The sequence below is a fragment of the Homo sapiens genome, chromosome 5 (genome assembly GCF_000001405.40).
Source record: "Homo sapiens chromosome 5, GRCh38.p14 Primary Assembly".
Lineage (NCBI taxonomy): Eukaryota > Metazoa > Chordata > Mammalia > Primates > Hominidae > Homo > Homo sapiens.
Genome location: NC_000005.10, coordinates 162140279 through 162164318, shown reverse-complemented (window position 1 = coordinate 162164318; position 24040 = coordinate 162140279). Strand labels below are relative to the sequence as shown.

General features: G+C 36.6%; 1 protein-coding gene across 15 annotated transcripts in view; it reads right to left on the bottom strand.

Annotated features, from left to right (window-relative positions):
* Window positions 8780-24040, bottom strand: part of GABRG2 (gamma-aminobutyric acid type A receptor subunit gamma2) — an 88075-nt gene continuing 72814 nt past the window's right edge. For 6 of the 15 annotated variants that reach the window (NM_001375344.1, NM_001375350.1, NM_001375339.1 and 3 more), the window contains 4 exons: window positions 22003-22155; window positions 15006-15211; window positions 12566-12589; window positions 8793-11226 (listed from right to left, as the gene is read on the bottom strand). In NM_001375344.1, the coding sequence (NP_001362273.1) occupies window positions 10951-11226; window positions 12566-12589; window positions 15006-15211; window positions 22003-22155 (659 nt within the window). In that variant the 3' untranslated portion in view covers window positions 8793-10950. Of the gene's footprint in view, window positions 11227-12565; window positions 12590-15005; window positions 15212-22002; window positions 22156-24040 lie in introns of all 15 variants that reach the window. The other 9 variants (NM_001375349.1, NM_001375343.1, NM_001375348.1 and 6 more) reach the window with 6 other exon arrangements.

The following is a 24040-nucleotide window of genomic DNA, read 5'->3' as shown; positions in this document are numbered from 1 at the left end:
CTTTGTTGCTGTGTGTGCAGTAAAAAAGCAGGCAACATGACACCAGCCAGGTAGAGACCCCCTCTGCATAATAAAAGATTGGGGTGAAATGGACAGCTTCTTCACGTGCGATGCAAATGGTACACCTGGCCTGACCAATTTCTTGTACCCTATGTAAATCAGACACTGCCTCCTCAAGCTCAACTATAAAACCCTGTGCATTTCACCACGGAACCAGAAGACCCACTCGAAAACTCCTCTCTGTCTGCAGGAGCGAGAGCTTTTCTCTTTTCTCTTTCTTTCGCCTATGAAACTTCTGCTCTTATACTCACTCCCTGTGTTTTTCCACATCCTTCATTTCCTTGGCATGAGGGAAGTAACCTCGAGTATTACCCCAAACAAATGACTCCGCTTCACACACCTCCTGCCTTGCCTGAGTTGCAGTCACCTTTGTCGGAACCCTAGGGCCAGAGTATGTGCATGCCTGATTAGCTGCTCTGCTGAGACTCCTCCCAGCTTTGTGTGTCGGACCCAAGGCCCTGGTGGAATGGCACATGAGGTGATCTCCTGATCTGAGGGTTGCAAAGATCCATGAGAGAAGTGTGGTTTTCCAGGGTTGCACATTCACTCACCGCTTCTCTTGACAGGAGGTAGGGGTTCACTTGACTCCATGTTGCTCCCAGGTAGGCCATTATCCTGCCCTGCTTTTCATCATTCTCCATGGGTTGAGTTGTTTACCCTATCAGTCCCGATAAGAGTACCTGGATATTTCAGTTGAAGATGCTGTATTTTCTTGGCCCTTTCTTTCCCCTCCATGAGTGCCATGCACTGTAGCTGCTTCTAATCAGTCATCTTGGTCCCCCCGCCACATCTTTCTTAGCATATAATTTTGCCATTATTGTAATTAAAGCAGATATTTATTGAGTACCAGTGATGAGCAGCATGTTGTGATTAAACTTTGTCATAAACAACAGAACATTTGGAAAATTATAAATAGTATTTTCTACTCAATATACAAATATAAATATAAGTGCTCAAAGTGTTACTGGTGATAATATGAAGACTAATGTAACTTTTGCAAATAAGAATGTCATATCCCAATATGAAGAAATTATTACATTTGGAATTCTAGTTAAATTATTTCTAATAGTAATGAATTAATGGTCAGAGAAGTGTAAATTCCTATATCCTTTCCCCACTGTGTTATTTATTCCTCATTATCTCATCTTGCTCTTGGCCTGGGTCTTGCTCTTACTCTCACCCACTCTAAACATGTAAAGATGACCTATTTCTTTCATTTTATATAATGTATATAAAACCATCAAAATAAGTTTTTGAAGGATGTAGACATTAAACAGAATAACCAGAAAATTATCATCCTTTTATTTTTCTACCTTGGATTAAGTATTAAGACATTATGCAAAAAATTACAATAAACTTTCCAAATTGGGTTCAGTGAGGGCTTAAAGATGTTAAGACAATTACGAATAATTGCTAACTTGTTGTATTAGTCCATTTTGTGTTGCTATAAAGGAATACCTGAGGCTGGGTAATATATGAAGGAAAAGAGTTTAATTGGCTCATGGTTCTGCAGGCTATACAGGAAGCATGGTGCTGATATCTGCTTGGCTTCTGGTGAGGCCTCAGGGAGCTTTCACTCATAGAAGAAGGTGAAGCAGGAGCAGCACGCCACATGATGAGAAATGGAGCAAGATACAGAAGGAGGAAGTCCCAGAATCTTTACAACAACCAGATATTTTGTGAAGTAGCTGAGCGAGAACTCACTTACCATTAGGAGGATGGTGCTAAAGCATTCATGAGACATTTGCCTTATGATCCAATAGTCTCCTACCAGGCCCCATATCCAACACTGGGGTTCACATTTCCACATGAGATTTGTAGAGAACAAACATCCAAACCATATTTTTATCAAGAAAGAAAGTAATTTTAGTCTTGACCCTTGTTAGAATTTTACCTGGCAAAATCTCATTTAAGGAAATATGTTTCTTGTTTGTCCCCACAACTAATTGAGTTGATTGGTTACCATTGATAGTTAATTGCTAAATAACAAATCTCAGTAAGTTGTCTTAAATTTCATGGGGATTTTCAGTAGATACTGCCTTTGATGATACTCTCACATTAACATCTGAGGATTACTTTTGATTATGTTCATCAAGTTAATGGTACTCTTCTGGGGGAAGATTTGTGAAAGGATGCTTTAGAATGTTGTGATTACACACACACACACACACACACACATATATATATACACACACATATATGTATATATATTTATATATATATATTCCTCCTTAAAAATAAAAAAATAGAATGGGTATTTTAAATAAAAACTTTACAAATAATAGTCCAGCAGCATCCATTTGACAAACTGTATTTTAAAAACTTCATCTCTCAAGTGGCTATTATGGGTCAGGCACTGTGTTAGGCAATAAAGATTTAGAAGTGTAAACTTTGGCCCTCACTTTGAGAAGCTATAGCTTTACAAGAAATGTTGCATCAAGTATGTATATTGCAAATGCATGGATATGCATGGTGCATGTATATTAGCTTAAAATGTACAATTATTGCTTATCATAGATCAATACAAGTTTGAAAGCCCCAACTTTCATGGTAGCAGCAAGAATTTATTACTTTAATAATTGGTACTAATTCCACAATGCCAAACTAGGGAAGTCAACTATTTAATATAAAACACCACTGAGAGCACTTTAAGATTCTCTATCGTTTAGTCCCTTGGTAAAAGATCACTATGCCTGAAAACCAATGTGTTTTCAAAAGAAATACATGTTGCCTGTGTAATTTCATATACATACCTGAAAAGACATTTATAATGAAAAAAAACCTGATTCAATCCTCTAGCAGATACTAGCAATTTTTAAAAATGAAAAAAGTATTATCCTAAAGAAACCCCACGATCCACTACTTTATAGGTTTATTTTCTATATCTAAGAAATAAATCTATTAATGTTAATTGAAGAATATCAGCTTAAGCCTACCCCATACATTTATATATACAGAATTTGGGGAAGGGTGAGGCTTTTGTGATCAGATGTTTACCTCTGCATTAATAATACTAACCACCCACTGAATTTCACATTTCTCACCTCTTTTTGCATTATATTGTAAATTCTGTAAGGATAGGGCCTGAGCCATTAATTTTTACCAAGATATCTCCAATGCATAGGGCAGTTCTTGGCATATGGTAGGCACTCAACATACTTATTGAATTGAATCACATCTTCATTGCTTCACAGTGACATCAAGTCTTTTTGAAGAAAAAAAAGAGATTGAAAGAATGAAAGGGGAGATGCAGAATCAATGGAGGTTTAGAAGAGAATAGCTAAATTTAAGTGCCGTGTAAAATTGTCCTTCTTTTTTGTTCAACAGGGTTCACAATCTAGCCCTAATAAGGACTCAGTTTCCCCCATGACTTTAAGAGGATGGGAAGGCTGTCAATGAGAAAGTCATAGTCTTGTACACTATAAGAGGCTGTGTTCAGAGTGTCAGTACTAAGCTAGTCTGTTTTCCAAATGGTTTGCTTTAGTCACTTTAGTTTAAGTTGTCCAAATTAAGTTGTAGTTGTCCTTACAGTCATTGTGTTTACAGAAATAGATCTGTGGTTTTGCTATTTTCAGCCTTGAACCCAGTATAGAATTGTACCCTTGGGCTCTCAGTGACTCAGAAGCCCTGTCCCTTTTTAAGTTCTGCAATAACAGATGAGAAATATTGGCTCAGAAGGTCCACCCTTCGTGAAAATAGCTCGAGGGTGCTGTGGCCTGCAAATCACTGACTGAATTGGCACCCTTGCCACAGGACTCACCAGAAGGGCATGTCTATTAACCCACATTAACTCCCAGAAAGTGTTGTATAAAGGCATTTGCTTTATAGCTTTAAAGCCTATTGAAAAGTTCTTCAGGTTGAACAGATTACCCAATATAAAATATATGGATCTGTAATATTCCAGTGTAATAACTTTTAAAGACTACTTTTTCCATGGCATAGAAATCTATTTGAAAACCCTAAATTTCTTCTTTATTTCAGAAATTTATGTTAAGTAGGGTACAAGTAAAGAAGCTTTCTTTTGTACCACTTATGCTGATTTTTGGAGAGGTTTTCTGGATAATTTCCAGTCATTTCTCTGGATCCATTCTTCAGAGTTCTTCACCACATGGTGTGCCCCATAAGGCTGACCTCTGGCCCACCCTATCTGCATTTCCCTGTCCACTAGTTTCCATTTGCTTTGACCAATTAGATATACTTTAGGTAGGAGAAGAGAGAATTCTGATTACTTATTCCTACTCTCCCTCCTTGACTGGCCGCTGTTGGGCAGTGGTTGTATTAGTTTAAAGTCACGGCTCCTGTTCTACAGCTCTTTCTAGGTCCTGTAACTGTCCCTTCCTTTTGTACTTTAATGACTAAGGTAGTGTGGTAGGCAAAATAATAGGTCCCCAAAAATGTCCTTGTTCGAATCCCTGCAAACTGTACATATATCTTACGTGGTAAAAGGGAGTTTGCAGGCATGGTTAAGGATCTGAAGACAAGATCATCTTGGATTATTTGGGTGGGTCCAATGTAATCTCAAGGGTCTTTGTAAGTAGGAGGCTTGAGGTCAGAGCCAGAGGAAAGATGAAGGAAAGGGACTGAGTGATGCAGTTGCTTGCTTTAAAGGTGAACATGAGCCACAAGCCAAGGAATTCAAGAGGACTCTAGAACATGGAAAAGTCAAGAAATTAATTCTCCCCTAGATCCTTCAGAAGGAATGCAGCCTTGCTCACATCTTGACTTCAGCCACTGAAATTTCTGACCTTCTGAAATTAATTATGATAATGAATTTTTGTTGTTCTAAGTCACTGAGTTCATTGAAATTTGTACAACGGATATAGGTAACTAGTTCAGTTGACAACTGCTAGACCTGTTGTACTAAACCATCCTATAATTGGTAGACTTTAACCTTGCCTAATCTTTGTAAGTAACCCTTCATTAATTTTTCTTCAATTACTCCTTGGAGTATACCATTTGTTTTCTGTCAGGACTCTAATTGTTAAATGCTTATACATTTTAATTCAGCAAAGCTCATGTTTTAGGGATATATTCTATGAAAATAGAGGAATATATATATATGCCTGTGACAAAAATATTTTTGTAATATTACTTATAGCAACAAAAACAGTTTTGTAATATTACTTACAGCAACAAAAATAAGAAATAATGCAAATTTTCAGAAATAAAGGATTGACTAAATAAATTATGACACAGTCCTGTGATATAATAATGGAAAGCCAGAAAATGTTATGTTAAATATACTCACACACACATATATAATAGTGTGGAAAAATGAGACTTCAAAGCAGATGTATGTCCATATCTATACTTCTATTCACCTGTCTAATCCGTGTGTTTAAATATATGTGGGGAAAAAACCCTCAGCTGTAAATACATATGGAGGAAAACAAAAATAGAAAGATAAATACTATTTTAGTGACTAACTCTTGCTAATGGATTAAGAACAATATTGTTATGTACATGTACATAGTTTTCAAATAGTCTATAGGATTTTTATTAGTAATTACAGAAAGGGGGATTTTGAGCAGTGATGGGACCTCCTTACATGTAGAGGAATGCTTTTTATACAGAGAAACCCTTTTCTGACTTCACTCACAGTTAGAATATGACTTATTCTATCTACAACTACTTGTGTGCAGCTCCATTAGAGTTATTTGTATTCTTTTCTGACTCCTCTATCATATTATGGGCATTTCAGGGCAAAGCATACCTGAAATTTACCTCTTCCTGCACTCACAGGGCCCTATATTAGGCCCATGGCATGAATTTACTGAAAACTTTATATTAAGCTGAATGTATAGATGCTTAATTAAAACCTATTTGATGAGGAACTTAATTCCACACCCATAAAACACACAAGTCTCAGAAAAAAAAAAACTGCGAGGCAAATTTATAGAGCATGGAGATAGAAGATAAACAACCTGATTTAAGATGCCAATTGATAGTGAATTATTTATAATATATTCTTGTCACAGCATTGTACATTTAATGTTTGTTTACAAAGAGGATTGGATGAATGTAAGTATTTAGCTAAGATAAACATTAGGATTAGGCCATTCAAAAGTCACATCAAGAACTGGAAGAGATAAAAGAAAATAGCATATTGAACTTTAGTGAAACTGGGAAGACCTTACAGACCAGGTAGAGTCTTTAATTAGAGACTGTTGAATCTGTTGAGCAGAGGACGACATTCTAGGAAAATTGTGCTTTTTTAGAGAAGTCTCAGGGTGGAAATAAGATAAATGAGCCAAGATACCTGTATGGAGATAAGACAGAGTTTAATAGAGTCAGAATGTTAGATGGTAATCAATCACATCAGGCCATAGCAAATAGCAGAGAAGTGATCGAATAAAAATCTGCTGGAGAAAAAGGGGCCAAATTCCCTTGTTTACGTAAGAAACTGAATATCATCAAGATAGGAATATTTGGAAATCCCCAGATGTTAAATGAAATTTCTATCCCCGGTCCAGTGACTTTTTTTTTTATGAGAAAAGAGAGTCCTCACAAATGATGATCAATATTTTTAAGCAAAGTAGATATGGTTCTTGTACCCTGTATTTTCTGAAACTTTATATCCTTACTGAGGAAAATTACTAGCATCCAGTAATTCTTTGGTATTAACTAAGTTTCTCCTTATAATAAAGTCTGAGATACACACCAATATTATCTCCATTTTTCAGGTGAGAAAACTAAGGCAGACAAAAGTTGACAGGGCTGATATTTGAACCTAGTTAATCTGGAGCAAGAGCCTCTGCTTTTCCAATTAGTTACACAAACCATAATTAGAGGAAACTATTTCTTTATTATCCAAAATGTGGCAAAAGAAAGTTACAACTGGATTTTGCAATTGGCTTATAATCTGTAACCTTAGAAAGAATCATAATAGTTAGGTCATTCCCCACCACTTTGCTTAAATAGTAGAAAGAATGAGCCTGCAGATCCTAGCCATGGAAACTTTTTGGTTGTCTACTGCCACATATCCCAAAGGACAAAGGCTAACTCTAGGTCTGGAGTTGTTTAGATGTTTCTTTGAAACAGCATTCTGAAAGCAGTATGGGTAATATTAAATATCAATTGGTCATTTCACATGAGAAGGAATAAAATAAATACAAAACCCATTGACTTCCCTCTGTTACTAGGTATTCTCAAATTCCTGTCTCATTGCAATAAAATGAGTCAAAGTGAGGCTTAGATCAAAGAAGGAAAGCATCCTGCAGTTTGGCAGATCCTAAAATATTAACAGAAAGATAAAGTATTCCAGAATTTTACTTCTAAATTCTGAAATACTGTGAGACACAGTGGAAAGAGCAATGCTTAGATGACCCCCTGATCTGTCATTAACTAGCTGTGTGACCTTTGGCAGTTCACTGAGCACTAGAAAACATAGCCGAGCTCTTGGTCTACGTCATTCCCCCATATTCTACACCTTTGACAAAGATTCATAGTGACAAAGCATAGAGATAGCAATTTTTGACATAATCCCTGAAGACCACATCATTTTGTTAACTTAATTTGACCTTCATTGCAGACAAAAATTTTTGCTACTAGTCAGAATAATATTGAGACTTAATGCAAGGAATGAAGGCCATATAAAGATATGAATTCAGCTAAAGTTCAGGGCATTGAGTTAGACAGCAGACAACATCTAAGTGAAAACTATATTTTTATAGGTTTGGAAGGTGAGAAATAGATGATTAAATTAGATGCAGGAAGATATGAGGGGCCAAGAGAATGGGGCCAAGGATGGTTAGGGCAGCTGTGTTGTGAAGATAATATTATATTCCTGGGAGAATTTCAAAAGAGTTCAAGAAAACATGACATTGTCTCTGGAGTAGGGCTAATCAACTTTGTATGTTTGTAAATTTTGAGGGTACAAATAACAGTTCTTTGGCCTTAAAAATAACTAATGTAATGTGTAAGTTTTTTTCCAATGAGACAGAAATTTCCCACATATAGTTTAAAAGACTTGCAATGCAAATATTTCCTAAAAATAAAAATAGAGTGATGTAGAGTCACTTAAAGGCTTATATGCCTAATGCTGGATTCTATTAGGGAAGCTAGTTTGATAGGATGAAGGGAGCATGACAGCAGTGCATGGAAGGCATCGGAAGTGAGGGAGAGAGCTTTTGACCATTTGTTGAGTGTCACTACATAGGTTAGCATTGGTATATCTAATTTATAGCTGCTAAAATGGAGACTTCTAGCTGGGCATGGTGGCATGCATCTGTAGTTCCAGCTATTCAGGAGGCTGAGGCAGGAGGAATGCTTTAGCTCAGAAGTTTGAGGCTTCAGTGAGCTATGACTGTGCCACTATACTTCAGACTGAGTGACAGAGGGACACCCCATCTCTAAACAAATAAACAAATACATAAATTATTTTTAATGGAGGATTCTAAAGTCTGAATTGACAATTGTCTAACAACTGGTAAATAGTAAAGCTGGGATCCCAACTTTGTCTGGCACTGGAATTAATGTTAACCACACCGAAATTCTTGAGGTAGAGAAGACTTGAATTTTTACTTACTTTATTACATGTCTGCCTTTCTTCTTCACTCTACAACCCACATGCCTCTCTTAATTTTTTTGAGGTGAAGAGTACCGCCATGCAAAACACAGTCACACAGCTCACAGATAAAGCTCACTGAGAGGGGATTTGGGGAAATGAGGCAGGAAAGAGAGGTCACAATCTCTAAGACAAACAGTCCCACCAGACTACTGAGATGCCACCATGGATTAGAATGCAGCATTTTTATTGTAAAAGTCCACATGTTAGGCAATTCCCTTTGTGAAAAGGTTTCCAAATACATAGACAGGGAGCAGCTTATAATAAGTATTAGATTATATATAATATATATTCATATTGCCAATACTATGCACACATTGGAAAGCTAGCTTTTTGTAGTGTCCCCATTACAGAACACATTTCAAGTTGACAATAATGTTTCTCACCATTGAAACTTGCCAACAACTCTCCCAAAGAGTCAACATTTAATATATTGACAATTCAAAACAAGAAAATAATTCGTTCTATTTACATTTGTTTGAGGTTATATACTGGAGCACTGATATATTAAAGGTTTGTAAAACTGGCAGCTAAATGTGTTTCAAGATTCATCCAGATGACTTGATGATGACTTTACATGGTTTTATACTGACAAAGCCACTCTCTCTTCTTTTCTATTCTTTTTAGGTTATCTGTAAAGTTATACTAGCTATGATTTAATTATGACAGAGTAATAATTTCCATAAAAATAATTAACAAAGGGTGCTATTTTAGAAAAATAAGGATTCAGGATGAGTACATGAAGATAGAGCTCAACTCATCATGTTTTAAGTCTGGAGAAATTGCTTTGTTTAACTACAATGTAATCTAATGAGGCCACAGTCATTGGCTCAACCTCTATGTGAGTCATTCATTTTTTTTTTTCAGTTTTTAAAAGCTAATCTTCAATACTTTTTCGCACAGAATGCTACATTCTGAACACTAGTCAGGTATGAATTTTGCTTATTCCTGTTATAAGTTCACAAACAAAATTGTGGATGGGCAAGGACTGACTCATCCCCAAACCTGGAAAAATAATACACAAACTCTAATTATGCCCTAGTAGAGTCATGTCTATACACAAACATAGGACATAAATATTGTTTTAAAAGGAGTATGGACTTTGCCTAAAATAATTTTTTGAAGATGAACATAAATAGCTAAAGTTCTTTGGATCCTACTGGTTATTTTTACAAAATCAAATATCACTTGACAACACCTATGTGAGAAGATGAGTCACTGGTTTCAGGCCAGCACAGAGATTTGCCAGAAGCATGTGAGGGCAATTCACTTCAAACCATATTTATTGAGCACCAACTATATGCCAGGCACTATGCAAGGTGCTACAGACCCAAAGAGGAAATGACAAGGATTCTGCCCACAAGGCACTCACAATCACTAGAAGCAGATCTTGAGATGGAGAATAAGTTCTGTTATGATCTATCATCCTAAAAGGAAGAAAAAAATAGCGGCAAGCACATACAATTACTTTATACTCTAGTTATGAAATTGGGCATATTTAGAGGTGGCAAATGTTGATTATCCAGTCTATATTTTACTTAAAGTGTTGTAATATGTCATACAAGGAAAAAATAAGCTGTTCGAATCTTCATGCATGAGGGAGAAGGCAATGAAAATTCCTCCCTCCATTTCCAAACCCAAATCCTTATAATTACATTCAGGAATCTTTTATAGCCCAAGGACACAAAATAAAAGACAATAGGATGATAACTTCAGTCCATTTATTTTGGATCTAAAGAGATGCATGCACTAAACTTGAAGCATTCTAAGTTATTGAAATATTTACATCATTGTACATGAATGTGGAGGAAATTTTCTTCCTATCTTGAGATAAAGGTGTAATAGATTTCTGGACTAGGCTTTCATATTTAAAGTGAGTTATGATTTTTCTTAAATGAGGGAGGTATTCTATTGGGATCAAATTTATCACAACTTGACCCGGAGTGAACATAGGGTACAGTTTTGGACCTTTTCTATCTAATTGCATTATGAATCTAGTAAGGATACCACTACTGTAAATAGTCAGGGCTTTCACTGTTTTATTTGCTGTAGCTGAAAAATATCTTATTTGGTTTGAATGTTCTTGCTCTAATTTTACTTTGCCTTGCAGGTTTGAAACACAGCAAACATCGAAGTTCAAAGTACACTAACCAAAGGAGGGCTGGGCACAAACAATATGACATTATAAAATTTACCAGGTTTGGACATAGAAACAGATTCAGATCATTATCAACCACATAGAGGATTATTTAAGTGGACTTAGAACAGACATCTCTCCATGAGACTCAGTGAATAAGAACCATATCAGTAAAACCCATACCTCCTCACAGGTAGAGGTAGGAGACCCAATAGACCAGATTAAACAGGCAGAAGGCAGTGGGGAAGAAGATCCGAGCATAGGAGTCCATTTTGGCAATGCGGATATGTATCCTCCCATGTCTCCAAGCTCCTGTTCGACAATCTTCAAAACAGCAGAAAAAACTGGCACAGTCCTTGCCGTCCAGACACTCATAGCCGTACTCTTCATCTCTCTCTTGAAGGTGTGTAGCATTATTCATTTGAATGGTTGCTGATCTTGGGCGGATATCAATGGTAGGGGCCTGGGACGAGGGTAGGGAAGGAGAGGGATCAGTTAGTTGTTCTCGAGAGATCCTAGGCTGTTTTTCCACAATGTCACCAATGTGATGATGAATCTGAAAATGGGTACTCAGGAAATTGCTATGACATCATGATCTACAATGGTAAAATTGAACTTAGAAAGATAGCACATTTGCAGATTTCAAATTTTGAGCTTAAGCAGTGCAGCTGAAAATAATATCATCAAGCTAATAGCTATAGCAAGGAGATTGAACACCAAAAGAACTCAAAGTTAAATATTTAAATCAAATTACATGGAATCTTATTCTAGTAAGTATTAGATGTGACATTGGTTACATGAAGGCATTTGATGGTGCTGCATGTGAGTGGAACAGAGAAATAAAAATGCATCAATTCTGAAATCAAATATTGTGTCATGCTTAGTTATAGGCAAATAGAAAACCCATTACTCTGAGCAAATGTATTAAATGTTAATAGAAAATGTTAAAATATATATAAATACAGAATTTTCCTGATTGTATACCACAATGGTATGGCTTATGTTTTAAAGGACTATGATTCTTTTTCTAATATTCACCATCTATAAGCTTAAGAATGTCAACAATGTTTACCTACATGTGAATGGAAATTGAGAAAAGAAGGTTACTACTTGTCAAATTTCCTGCTAGACCAGTTGGTAAATTTCTATGCAACTAAATGATATATTTAATGTTAATTTGGATGATTTCATTTTAGCATAATCTAAACAGAAATTCTAACGTCTCAGAATCAGCTATTATATTTGAATAGAAATCTCATTGCAACACATTATAGTAGAGCCAAAAGGCTCAGGGATCACTCTGGAAATAAGGAATGGATATTTTAACTCAAAGCCTTTCAAAAAGAATATTGTTCTTACAGAACTTACAGGTAGTGTTCAGAAAAACAGAAATCATTAAGTTTACAAACAGTAATGAACCAATACATTTTGAATTAAGATTTACAGAGTTAAATTTTAGTTTTAAAAGAGTACAAACTTGGTAGTCGTAATCAGTAAGACTCAATCCCATTTTCATCTGAAAAGAGGAAGCTCATTTTGGCTTTGATGGATAAAGCAGCCTTCTTTACCTATGACATCTCACAGGGATTATAGCTTTTGGGCTTGGTGTAAGATTAAAACCTATGTGAATTAGTGTATAGTTGCTGAATCAACTCTAGAAGTCTGTAGAACTTTCTCCAACATATTATCTCTAGTAGAATGCTTAAATGTCTACTCATAAAACAAAATAAAACACCATGTAAGCATTAATAGTTAAATTTAGCAGTTGCATGCAGTGAATTTCCATTCCAAAAACATTATACCTTGAAGGAAAACATCCGAAGAAGCTTTGGGTTTGTAGACAGAAAAGAGAATTGCATTTGTTTTTAATAAAAAGGAGAAAAAAAATGAAAAAAAAAGAGAGAGACAAGATAAATTAAAAATACATTTTGAAAACACAGTAAGTGAAATGAACTGAAATTATAAACACAGAAGGAGAGTTCTGAGCTTGGGATAAAGTATTTGCTTAAAGTTAAGTGTAATTTTGTAATTACTAGTGAAATTTTTAATAAATTAATCTACAATTACTTGACTGAAGAAGCCAGAGTTGTTCAATTGCAAGGAAGTTTTCTATTGCCTGGTTCCCCTGTTTAAAAATACTATGATTCTATTTTCTAATTATCATCACGGATAACTTAATAGGTGAGTCTTGACACAATTATCCAAAAGGCATATTAAACAGGAAAATAAACTTTCAGCTTCTCATTCCTAGTTTATTTTCTTGCTAGTTCTGATGAATCATCTAATTGCCTAAAAAGAAGTGCATGAAATTCTCAGGTAATTTCATTTTCTCAAATTTTTATCCTGTTCTCCTCTGCCTTTTCTTCTTCTGCCATTTCCATGACCCTGAATAAGGGAATCTGCCTCTATCTTTGCAACAAAATCTACTCTGCAATGGCGTAGCTGACAGAGAGGGCCAAGGGGCTTTTTCCAAAGGACTCATCAGAACTTGTTTGAAAGCCAGTCCTCATGTCCTTGTTATAGCTGGCAGGTAATATGCCAACTCTCAATAGAACCACCTTCTTGAGGGAGAGTGAAATGGAAAGTGAACAAGAGGGAGCAAACAAAAACAACACAACAAGGAAAATAAAACAAGGATAGAGAAAATGGAAAGTCAGAGAGAGGCAAAACAGACAGGGAAGGGAAGGACTGCATAAAGCATTGTAAATATTTGAGCAATTAAAGAAAGCATTTTTTAAATCAAGAATAATGATGTTTCTTTCTTTCCATGTTCCAAAGTCTTACATTCAAATAAACACATTACTCTTGTAGTATTTCACTTGGGTTTCTGCAGCTGCATCAGAATACAACCTAGAATCAGCTAAATTCCTTCCTTACAATTCAACCTCCAAAGTCTCTGGGTTGGATAGGTAGAGCGTTATTACGGCTCTCAAAGCAGAAGGCCATGATCCAGGATTGTCAGGTGATTCTCTTTGCCCATATCTTGGAAGGGAATGGACCTTAACTTTCATGGGGATTTCTATGAGCCAGCCACTTTGTTCAGGTGTGTAAATGGGTAACTATGTGCTCTCCTCAACACTCACAATAAAAAACAGTTGCTTTAGGCATTTGTGTTTATGCTTCATCCTCACTATTTAAAGTTTGGTTGCAAGTAGAAGTCATCCTCCCTGTTTTCAAATTGTGGCACTGAAGTCAATCCAGGCTGGAAACTGTATAAATCATCAAAATCAACTATCATCACCAACTACTAATGTTAAGTACATTCATGTGTAGAGTACTATGTAATATTTTGGGATTTTTTGTTTTGCCCTTCATTGCCACATTTATTTCTCATAGGAGCCCCATAAGACAAGTGTTTTTAAATAATACACTACATATATATATATAAAACACACAAGGAGGCTAACTAACTTGCCCATATAATAGTAAATCATTTGTTTTAAAAACAAAAAGATACATTTCGAGAATGAAATCAATAGAAATTATCTGGTGACAATACCCACATTCCACCTCCATACACACACTAAATCATTTGCAAAAATGTAGTCAGCCTTGAAACTTCAAGGACCTTATAGCTTCCTAGTGGAATGCCTGAGATGGAAGTTTTAATTTAAAATATCAGTGATTTAATAATATTATCATGGCCAGGCGCAGTGGCTCACGCATCTAATCCCAGCACTTTGGGAGGCCGAGACAGGTGGATCACCTGAGGTCAGGAGTTCGAGACCAGCCTGACCAATATGGTGAAACCCCGTCTGTACTAAAAATACAAAAATTAACCAGGCATGGTGGCGTGTGCCTATAGTCCCAGCTACTCAGGGGGCTGAGGCAGGAGAATTGCTTGAACCTAGGAGGCAGAGGTTGCAGTAAGCCGAGATCCCGCCACTGCACTCCAGCCTGAGCAACAGAGTGACACTCCATCTCAAAAAATCAGTGAAACCTGGAATAATAGCAACAAGAAGAAGGTCACATTTCTCAAAAATGGCTTTAGTCTCCACAAAATAAAGAGAGCAGGTAATTATATTTGCATAAGAACTCTGACACAGAAAATAGAAACAGACTTGAGTCTCTCTCAAGTAACTAATGACTGTAAATGAATCGTTATGGCCTGGCTAAACTCATACATGCTGTTTTCATCTTGGAGCCCAAACTGCTGAGCCTTAGCCTGCAGATAGGCTAATGAAAACAAACTAAACCGAAATCATAAAAATTTCAATGGTGCCAATGGAAAATGATACATACAGGGTTTTTCTTCTTTTTATCTTTGTCCTTGCTTGGTTTCCGGTTGCTGACAAAATAATGCAAGGTGCCATACTCCACCAGAGCAGAGAAGACAAAGATGAAACAAACAGATACAAAGAGATCCATCGCTGTGACATAGGAGACCTTGGGGAGCGATTTCCGGGCAATGGTGCTGAGGGTGGTCATTGTCAGGACAGTGGTGATACCTGAAGAGAGGTGTAATAATACAGGTCATGTGATTGCATAAGCAAGTTGGGTAACTGAGTCACTCGTGAGACTACATTGTTTCATGACTTCTGATGGGCAGTTTCAGCAATGGGAAAGGAGGTATAAGTGGATTTAATTCACTCTATTTACAAATATTTATTGCCTGTCTACTATGTATCAGTTGAAATGACAAACACTGATGAATAGATTTGGTCTGGCCTTTGTGTACCTTATATTTTAGTGAGAGAGATATACTGTGAATCATGTCAGCAGAGAAAAGTATAATGTTACATTATGGTATGTGCCATGGAGAATACAGGGATGGTGAGAAGCTAGTTAGATGGAATGCTCAGAGAAGACCTTTTTGAGGGGTTGATGTTTAAAGTAAAGCTTAAAATGTAAGAAGAAACTAACCTTTTGATCATTATTAAATTAAGGGAGGGTTCTGAGAAAGAGAAACCTTGTCTGTTATTTAAATTTTTAGAAGACCTGGCACCTGGGAAGGGACAAGGGGATTAAAATTATTTTGATAAAAAGGAAGTTATAAAATGTGGCACATGCAGACAGTTTACATTTTATTCCAATTGCAGGGAGAAATTATTCAAAGATGCTAAATAGAGGAGGTGGGTTATGTGTAAGTGACATGCTCTGATTGATGGATTCTTTTTAGATTATTATAGGATTAAAATAAGTATCTCAGAAGTAACATAATAGGTAATATTTACTGAAAACTTCCTTCTGCCAAGGGCAGTGATAAGCGCTTCATATACATTGTTTCTTTGAATCTTCACAGCAGGTATTTTCATTCTGAATTTATAGATCAGAAGAACAAGGCTAAAGGACCAGTACCACATCCAATAGTTGGTAAGTAGCAGACAGAATTGAACACAGAAATTACATGAGTGATTTCAAAGCTCATACTTTACTAATTATACAAAAGCACCTATCCAAACCTGTCCTCTCCAGTGGTTGTTTAGTGACAGGGAACAATGTCAAGACAACCTATATTTATCAACCAGAGAAGGATGAGGAGCTCTCTTATGTAAAAGTTGTGTAATTTATACTAAAGGCAAAATGGATTCAGTATTCAAATAGGTTCTAGCTCTTGCTATAGGAACTTAAGTTATCTTAACACTCTAGGCCTCAGTTTTCTCATCTGTGGGACTAACTCTTTGAAGGTCCACCTATCTTACCATTCTACGATTCTAGTTTGGCATTTCTAATCCTGAGTGGAGGCATCTTTCTGTACTCTAAAAGCAATAATCCCAACTTTTACCAGGTTTTGTTATTTATATTTCTTACGGGGGACAGAAAAGAAAAATAAAGTTTGCATCATTTAAAGATGTGCAATTCTGACTATTACTGCTAACCAAGAGACTTCTAGGGGACAGCCAGATTCTCCTCTGTCAAAAGGAAGTGCTAGGGAAACTTCGAAACAGGTCGGGCCAGGCATGGTGGCTCACACCTGAAATCCCAGTACTCTGGGAGGCCGAGGTGGGTGGATCAGGAGGTCAGGAATTTGAGACCAGCCTGACCAACATAGTGAAACCTTGTCTCTACTAAAAATACAAAAAGTTAGCTGGGCTTGGTGGTGGGTGCCTGTAATCCCAGCTACTCGAGGGGCTGAGGCAGGAGAATCACTTGAACACGGGAGGCGGGGGTTGCAATGAGCTGAAATCGTGGCATTGCACTCCGGCCTGGGTGACAAGAGTAAAAACTCTGTCAAAAAGAAAGACAGACAGACAGAAAGAGAGACAGAGGAAGGAAGGAGGGAAGGAAAGGAAGGAAGGAAGGAAGGAAAAAGAAAGAAAGAAAGGAGAAAGAAAAAGAAAAAAGAAAGAATGAAAGAAAGAAATAAAGAGAAAGAAAGAAGAAAGAAAGAGAAAGAAAGAAGGAAGAAAGAAAGAAAGAGAAAGAAAGAGGTAGAGAGACTTGGAGGGCAAGAGAAGAGGAAGATACTGAGAAAAGCACCAGTGTCATACAGGAAAAGATGTAAAGCTCTTATTCTCTCATAAGTAGGTAACTGGTAGAACATGCTTAGAAGAAAATTGAGAAAAGCAAAAACACTCTTGAATAAAGGATAAGTAAGAGGAAATAAAATTACTGTTGTCTCCCTAATCAGTTCAAGTCTTTGTCTGAGCCATTTTTGAAGAGTTCAGCTACATTTCCAAGAACCATGTGGTTCTCTTGGGTCATTTAGTTGTAGCTTAGTATGAAAGTTTCCTAAATACGTACTTGTTATGCAATTTCAGACAGTGGAAAGACTGATGTTGGTTTAAATAGCTATAGAGGAAGGGTAGCCTTTAATACAGGAAAGAGATGATCAAGGGAACTATGTTTATAAATACCATTGGCCCTTTCCTATACTATTCCTGATTATGTAATAACCAATCTCCCTTTCTAATCTATACACTCTATGAAAACAGAATCTGTCTAAATGACTACTATAATCCCACAGTGGAGCATCATGCTGGGACTCAATAAATGTTTGTTCAATGAATGTGTGAAACAGTGAGCCAATGCATAGTATATACATGAAAGATCAAAGATGCTCAATCTATGTTTGAGAATAGGAATCCATAATTATGACTTTTGGGAGATATTTTTAATTGCAAATAAAGTAGTTAAGATTTATTGATCTTTTTCTTTGACCAGATACTGTGCCAAGCACTTTCTATTATCTCACAAGATCCTCATAATGCTTCTATAATGTAAGTATTATTATTACTATTATTATTATTTTTACAGGTGACAAACAGTGAGCATTGGAGGAATAAAAACTTGTTCAAGATAGTAAGTGGTAGAGATGAGATACAAACCTAGGCAGCCCGACTTCAAATGCTGTGCTCTGAACCACAGTATTTTAGCTCCATAAATACATGAAAAATATGTGGCATGAAGTGCCAGACAGATGGGACCTATTGTAGATTCCTGACTGGGGAGGTGATATGGGTCTGGCGTCTTCCATATTATCATGGTAGAACCTTAGGGAGGTTTGAGATCCTCATCTACAAACTGGGAGTGGTGGTGGTAATGATGGAGAACCTTATAAGTCTCCAGTAAAGATTAAATTTAAAAATGTGCATAGGGTACCAATACCTTGTAAAATCCTAATAAATATTAGGTATTGATAGTTTTTATTTTAGAAAAGAAAGTTCTATTTCTTAACTAAAAATCATTTTATTAGGTTGTCTATGCATTAATTCATGTAAGTTTCTCATTGTACCTAATCACAACTGATATTTTTGCAGAGGACTGAAAAACTAAATTGGCACTGTGGCCTTCATTTTACAATCAGGCCTGAGGCTATACTTGACCCTCGACAAGTGAAAATGTCAGTATTTATGGTAGGTACTGTAGATGAGTTAATTTTTTTAAAATGTGGCATGTGATAATTTGGGAGAAACAAATTTTGACATGCAAGTTAAATACTGTTCCAGCAAATTGGGAAAATGTTATTTAGGCTACATAGGCATTCATCAAAGCCATGTAGAAGTAGACTCTTGAAGAATTGCCTCATGATATTTTCAGGGCTCTGCCTGGAGCCACAGGAAAGAGACTGCAATGACATCAATAGTGAGAGGCAGAGTAGGGATGGTTTATATTGTCTCCTCAACCAACAATAAGACAGCTTCCATTTTGATAAGTAAATAAGTTAGACTTATCTTACCTGGGTGGATGAAATATATCCATAGCTTTTACCAGTTCCTCCAGTCTTGGCATGAAGTAAGCTCTTCAGGGATGTTACCTCACCTCAAAGCAGTTAGGTGACAAGTACCAAATGGTATTTTCATTTCATTCATTGTCACTACACCAGAAATAAGCCTCACCAACTACCACCTGGGCACCAAACTACATTCACTTTTATATGCTCCAAGATGGTGGCTGCCCATACTCTAGGACTCTGTGCTCAGAAAACAGCCAGTATCTCTGAGTCAACGTGGATAAATTTATCTTGCTCATCAAACAAGATGGCCTAACTGTTCCGTGGCAAGAAGCTTAAGGTCTGCGTGTGCTTAAGGTCCTCTCATTTAACTCTGGATTGTAAACATTGAGAAAAGTAATGGGACTCAATGAAGTCTAGAGCAGGGTTCTAAAAGGCGACTGCACGTTTGAATCACCTGTGGATTTTTTGTTTGTTTGTTTTTCAATCCTAACTCCTAAGTCACGTTCTAGACACATTAGATAAGCATTTCCTGGGGTTGAACTAAGGAATCTGCACTTCAAAAAGTCCTCTAGTGACTTAAATGTTCAATTAAATTTAAGGAGCACTGATCTAGAAAACTGAGACAGCAAAGTTAAAATAGAGAAACTGGCTCAGCTCCGCTTCTCACCTGTACCTACAATTGGTCTTCACCAAGGCCTCCTACCCAGAGCAAACCTATGTCTCATCAGCTGAGGTGCAGATCTACTACCTCCTTATGCTGTGACTTTGTGGATGTCATCTAACCTTGCAGCACCTCTACTTCCTTAGCTCAGCTCTAAAAATTGTGATAATAATGATCATTACAGCAACTTCTACATGCAGGTGTTGTGAAGAATAGAAAAGACATAGAGACCATATTGAGCATTCCTGACTTACAAATTACAAACAAGTAGAAGCACCTATCTGCTATTTGCTTAAGGGCCTCTTGCTCATTCCAAAACTCACTCACTTTGATCCCTTCTTCCACCATGATCCTTTGCCAGTGAACACTTATTTACTGAGTGGGTTAAATGAGTTACCCAAGAAGTCATGAGAGAGATTTTGGCCAGCAAGAATCCAGGCTTCAAGAGGACAGATTGATTGGAAATCTCTTCCTTAAAATGTTTTTGGGAAGAGGGTGGATTAGAATACATCAATGTATTTGCTCCAGCCATACATAAGTGTATACATCAATTGAACAATTATTTGAGGTACCAGCCATGTTCCAGGCACTGTACTAGAGATGTACAAGACTGACATTCTGATGACAGACATAGAAGCTTGTAATACAGTATGTATCTGTTCATAGTGACAAGTAATAGTCCGAAAGTAATAGGCTCAACATATTTGGGGTTTGTTTCAGCGTGTAGCATTAGACAAGATATTTTAATTTTTGAGAAGGACTTGTAACACAAAGTACCACATATAACAGGAAAAATCAAAATAACTTTCTTTTGAAACAGATGGGAAACTAAATTAGGTTTGGAAGAGGACAGATATGCAAATGATGTCTTTTCCCCCAGTAATCACTTCTGCCCTCAGCTTAATAACTTAGTACAGACCATTTTGTCAGAAAATGACTATAGTAGCCAACATTTCTGAGGCTTTACTATTTATGTGCAATTTGCATCGAATACTTTAACCCTAGTAGAACCCAATAAGTTAGGTACAGGAAATTATACATGTTTTATATATGAGGAAACTGTGAATTAGAGATTAAATGACATTCTAATGTTATCCTAAATGTGTGATGTCAAACCCATATTTGTGGGACTCCAAAACCCAATTTCCTAGCTATTACACCCTACTGACTCTTTAGACAGTTAGCAAGGGATGTGGTTCTAGGTTTTACATAGCTGATGAAAGGGTGTTGAATTTTGTTCACGTCCACTAGCTTTATTTTTAGTTAAGGTTTTAAAAAGTTTCATGTGTTGGGCTTTGTTTTAGTCTGTGTGAGTCTTCTTCCCCATGTGAAGAAACAGATGTGAAAATTCAAGACAAAGATCACCATATATATTAGATTGAGCAAATTGCAAATAATCTTAAGAGTCGCTTTTCCCCCAAAAATTTCACAGGTAAATATGTTTTCTCAAAAATAATTTTTTCCATCGCTGTTCTGTAAAGAGCCGATTACTTCAAATGTTATCCCAATAATTACTCGTGGGGAATAGCCAACAGCCAATGGCGTGCTGGTGAATGTGTAACAATTAACTCTAGAAAAAAGAAGGCCCTGACTTTTGTTTCCATGTTGTTAATATTTCCTCCTTGGGTGATTTCACATTAACAATGTGGCATCACCGAATACCAAGTTGGGAAGAGATAAACACAATCAACTTTCATGAGCTGGTGCAAGCAGCTTCAGCATATTATCCAGAGAACTAAACAAACACATCTGTTAATATTAAAACAGTTTTTAAAAAATAGTTAACTAAAATTTCTTAAGAAAAGTTACTCAAGAAAACCTATCAAGGTAACTAAGGAGAACCCAACTATAGAAGTAAAAAAATCTTTTTTTTTTTTTTATTATGCTTTAAGTTTTAGGGTACATGTGCACAACGTGCAGGTTTGTTACATATGTATACATGTGCCATGCTGGTGTGCTGCACCCATTAACTCGTCATTTAACATTAGGTATATCTCCTAATGCTTTTCCTCCCCAATCCCTCCACCCCACAACAGGCCCCGGTGTGTGATGTTCCCCTTCCTATGTGCATGTGTTCTCATTGTTCAATTCCCACCTATGAGTGAGAACATGCAGTGTTTGGTTTTTTGTCCTTGCGATAGTTTGCTGAGAATGATGGTTTCCAGCTTCATCCATGTCCCTACAAAGGACATGAACTCATCATTTTTTATGGCTGCATAGTATTCCATGGTGTATATGTGCCACATTTTCTTAATCCAGTCTATCATTGATGGACATTTGGGTTGGTTCCAAGTCTTTGCTATTGTGAATTAAAAATGCCAGTTCTCTTGAATATGAAACAAATGGTATTTCTATGCAATTGCAGGCTAAATTTAAAGCAGATCAACATAGAAATGGACATAAAAATTACTTGTATTTGGTACTTATCTTGAGAAACTGCAACATAAACAAAGGTGTCTCACCTAAAGATGTTCTGGCTGGAACAGCATCCTTATTGATCCAGAAAGACACCCAGGATAGGACGACAATGAGTGTGCAGGGGATATAGGTCTGGATGGTAAAGTATCCCATTCTTCTGCTCAGATCAAAGTAGACAGACATGACCACATAATCTCCTGGAACAGACCAAAGATAACACCATACAACCCTTTATCAATCACTGGAAAACATTAAAACTAAGCATGTATTTAATGGTTATGCACACACATTTAAATTAAGAGTTTTCTACAAGTGGTATGTTGAAAACTATTTTTGCCCGCTTGGGTTAAAAAACAAAAATGAAACACAACCTGAACTGAATCCCAACTCTTTTAGAGCAATTTGTCTACTAGATGGAAGGAAACATTTTTAGCATACTGATCATATTTTCTTCTTTCTGTGCTTTCTGACGTCCTTTCTTCCTACTTCACAAACATTATAAAAATGTTTGGTGAGGAGGGTAGGGAACAGTATTTCTACATTGTGCGTATCTTGTCTGCAATTCATTCTAGGTTTTGTAACAATTTCCTCTCATTTCTTAGGACAAAATCTTTATAAAAAACATACAAGGATATCCTGGTGCTTGACACTAATAAATGAATATTTTACTCAGAATTTATAACTAAATTCCTATGATGAGACATTTTTTCACATGTTCATTGAATCACATGGTTTTCCTTTATGGCAGTTACTTTACATTTTAAGTGTATATTCATTTGTGTGGTGATTTTTGCAGTATCTTTCCCCCTACTGGACTTTATCTGCATGAGTCTACAAACAGTTCCCATTTAAGCTCACCATTGCAAACTAGTAGTTAGCATTCTGCATGACTCAAAACAGGCATTCAGTAACATTTGTCAAGTAATCGTGCAAATGAATTAATGCCTTTGTAAATCGTACACATAAAATTCTCTAAAAATCAAGAAGATATATTATGGAACATTTGAATTAAAAAGCAAAATTTGGCTGGGTGCGGTGGCTCACGCCTGTAATCCCAGCACTTTGGGAGGCCGAGGAGGGCGGATCATGAGGTCAGGAAATCGAGACCATCCTGGCTAACACGGTGAAACCCCGTCTCTACTAAAAAATACAAAAAATTAGCCTGGTGGTGTGGCGGGCGCCTGTAGTCCCAGCTACTCGGGAGGCTTAGGCAGGAGAATGGCGTGAACCCGGGAGGCGGAGCTTGCAGTGAGCCGAGATGGCGCCACTGCACTACAGCCTGGGCAACACAGTGAGACTCCTTCTAAAAAAAGAAAAGAAACAAACAAAAAAAAGAAGCAAAATGTATGTAAATAATCCAGAGAATATATTAAGAAACACTACTAAAAGAATAAAGGAATAACCATGTAGCGATGCATGAGAACAATTTATTGTGACACAATTTGAAGTCTCTTTTTAAAGTCATGATGCATAAGTTGCTCTTAAAATTTCACGTCATTCATTTTGAATCATCCCAAGTAAAATTTTAAAGCATTTTAGTTTTTAAAATCAGAAAATATATTAGAGAAACACATCTCAGTTACTACATCTTTTTAAAATATTCTTAGAGAATATCAGTTTCAAATATTGTATCTGCACTCACAATGTGAGATGAATAAATGAGATAGCTTTTCAAATGTTGCTTCTTTTTTCTTTGCTAAATTATATTTTGCTGTAAAATACATAGATAATTAAATTCAAATCATATCTTTTAGCTTGATTAGTTGGCTTTGTGCCTACGTTTCCCTACTTACTTGGCTGATTTGATCTGATTTGAAAATAAGGTGCCCTACAAGCCTCATGCAGAGAAGATTGAATTAGCGGGGTGAGTTATTACTACTCAGTCTAGTTTTTCTTTCCCACTCTCAAGCTTCACCCCATACCCCTCAAAGCTGCTGAAATAGAAAGGCCTTTATTGGCTGCTCTTTGAGGGAGTAGACTGTCCCCTAACCTTGCAATATTTCCTAAGTGGGGTTTTGAATGCCTCTTAACACTGCCTTTTGTTAGATTGGCATACAGTTACTTGTTTAAGTCAGACCTGGC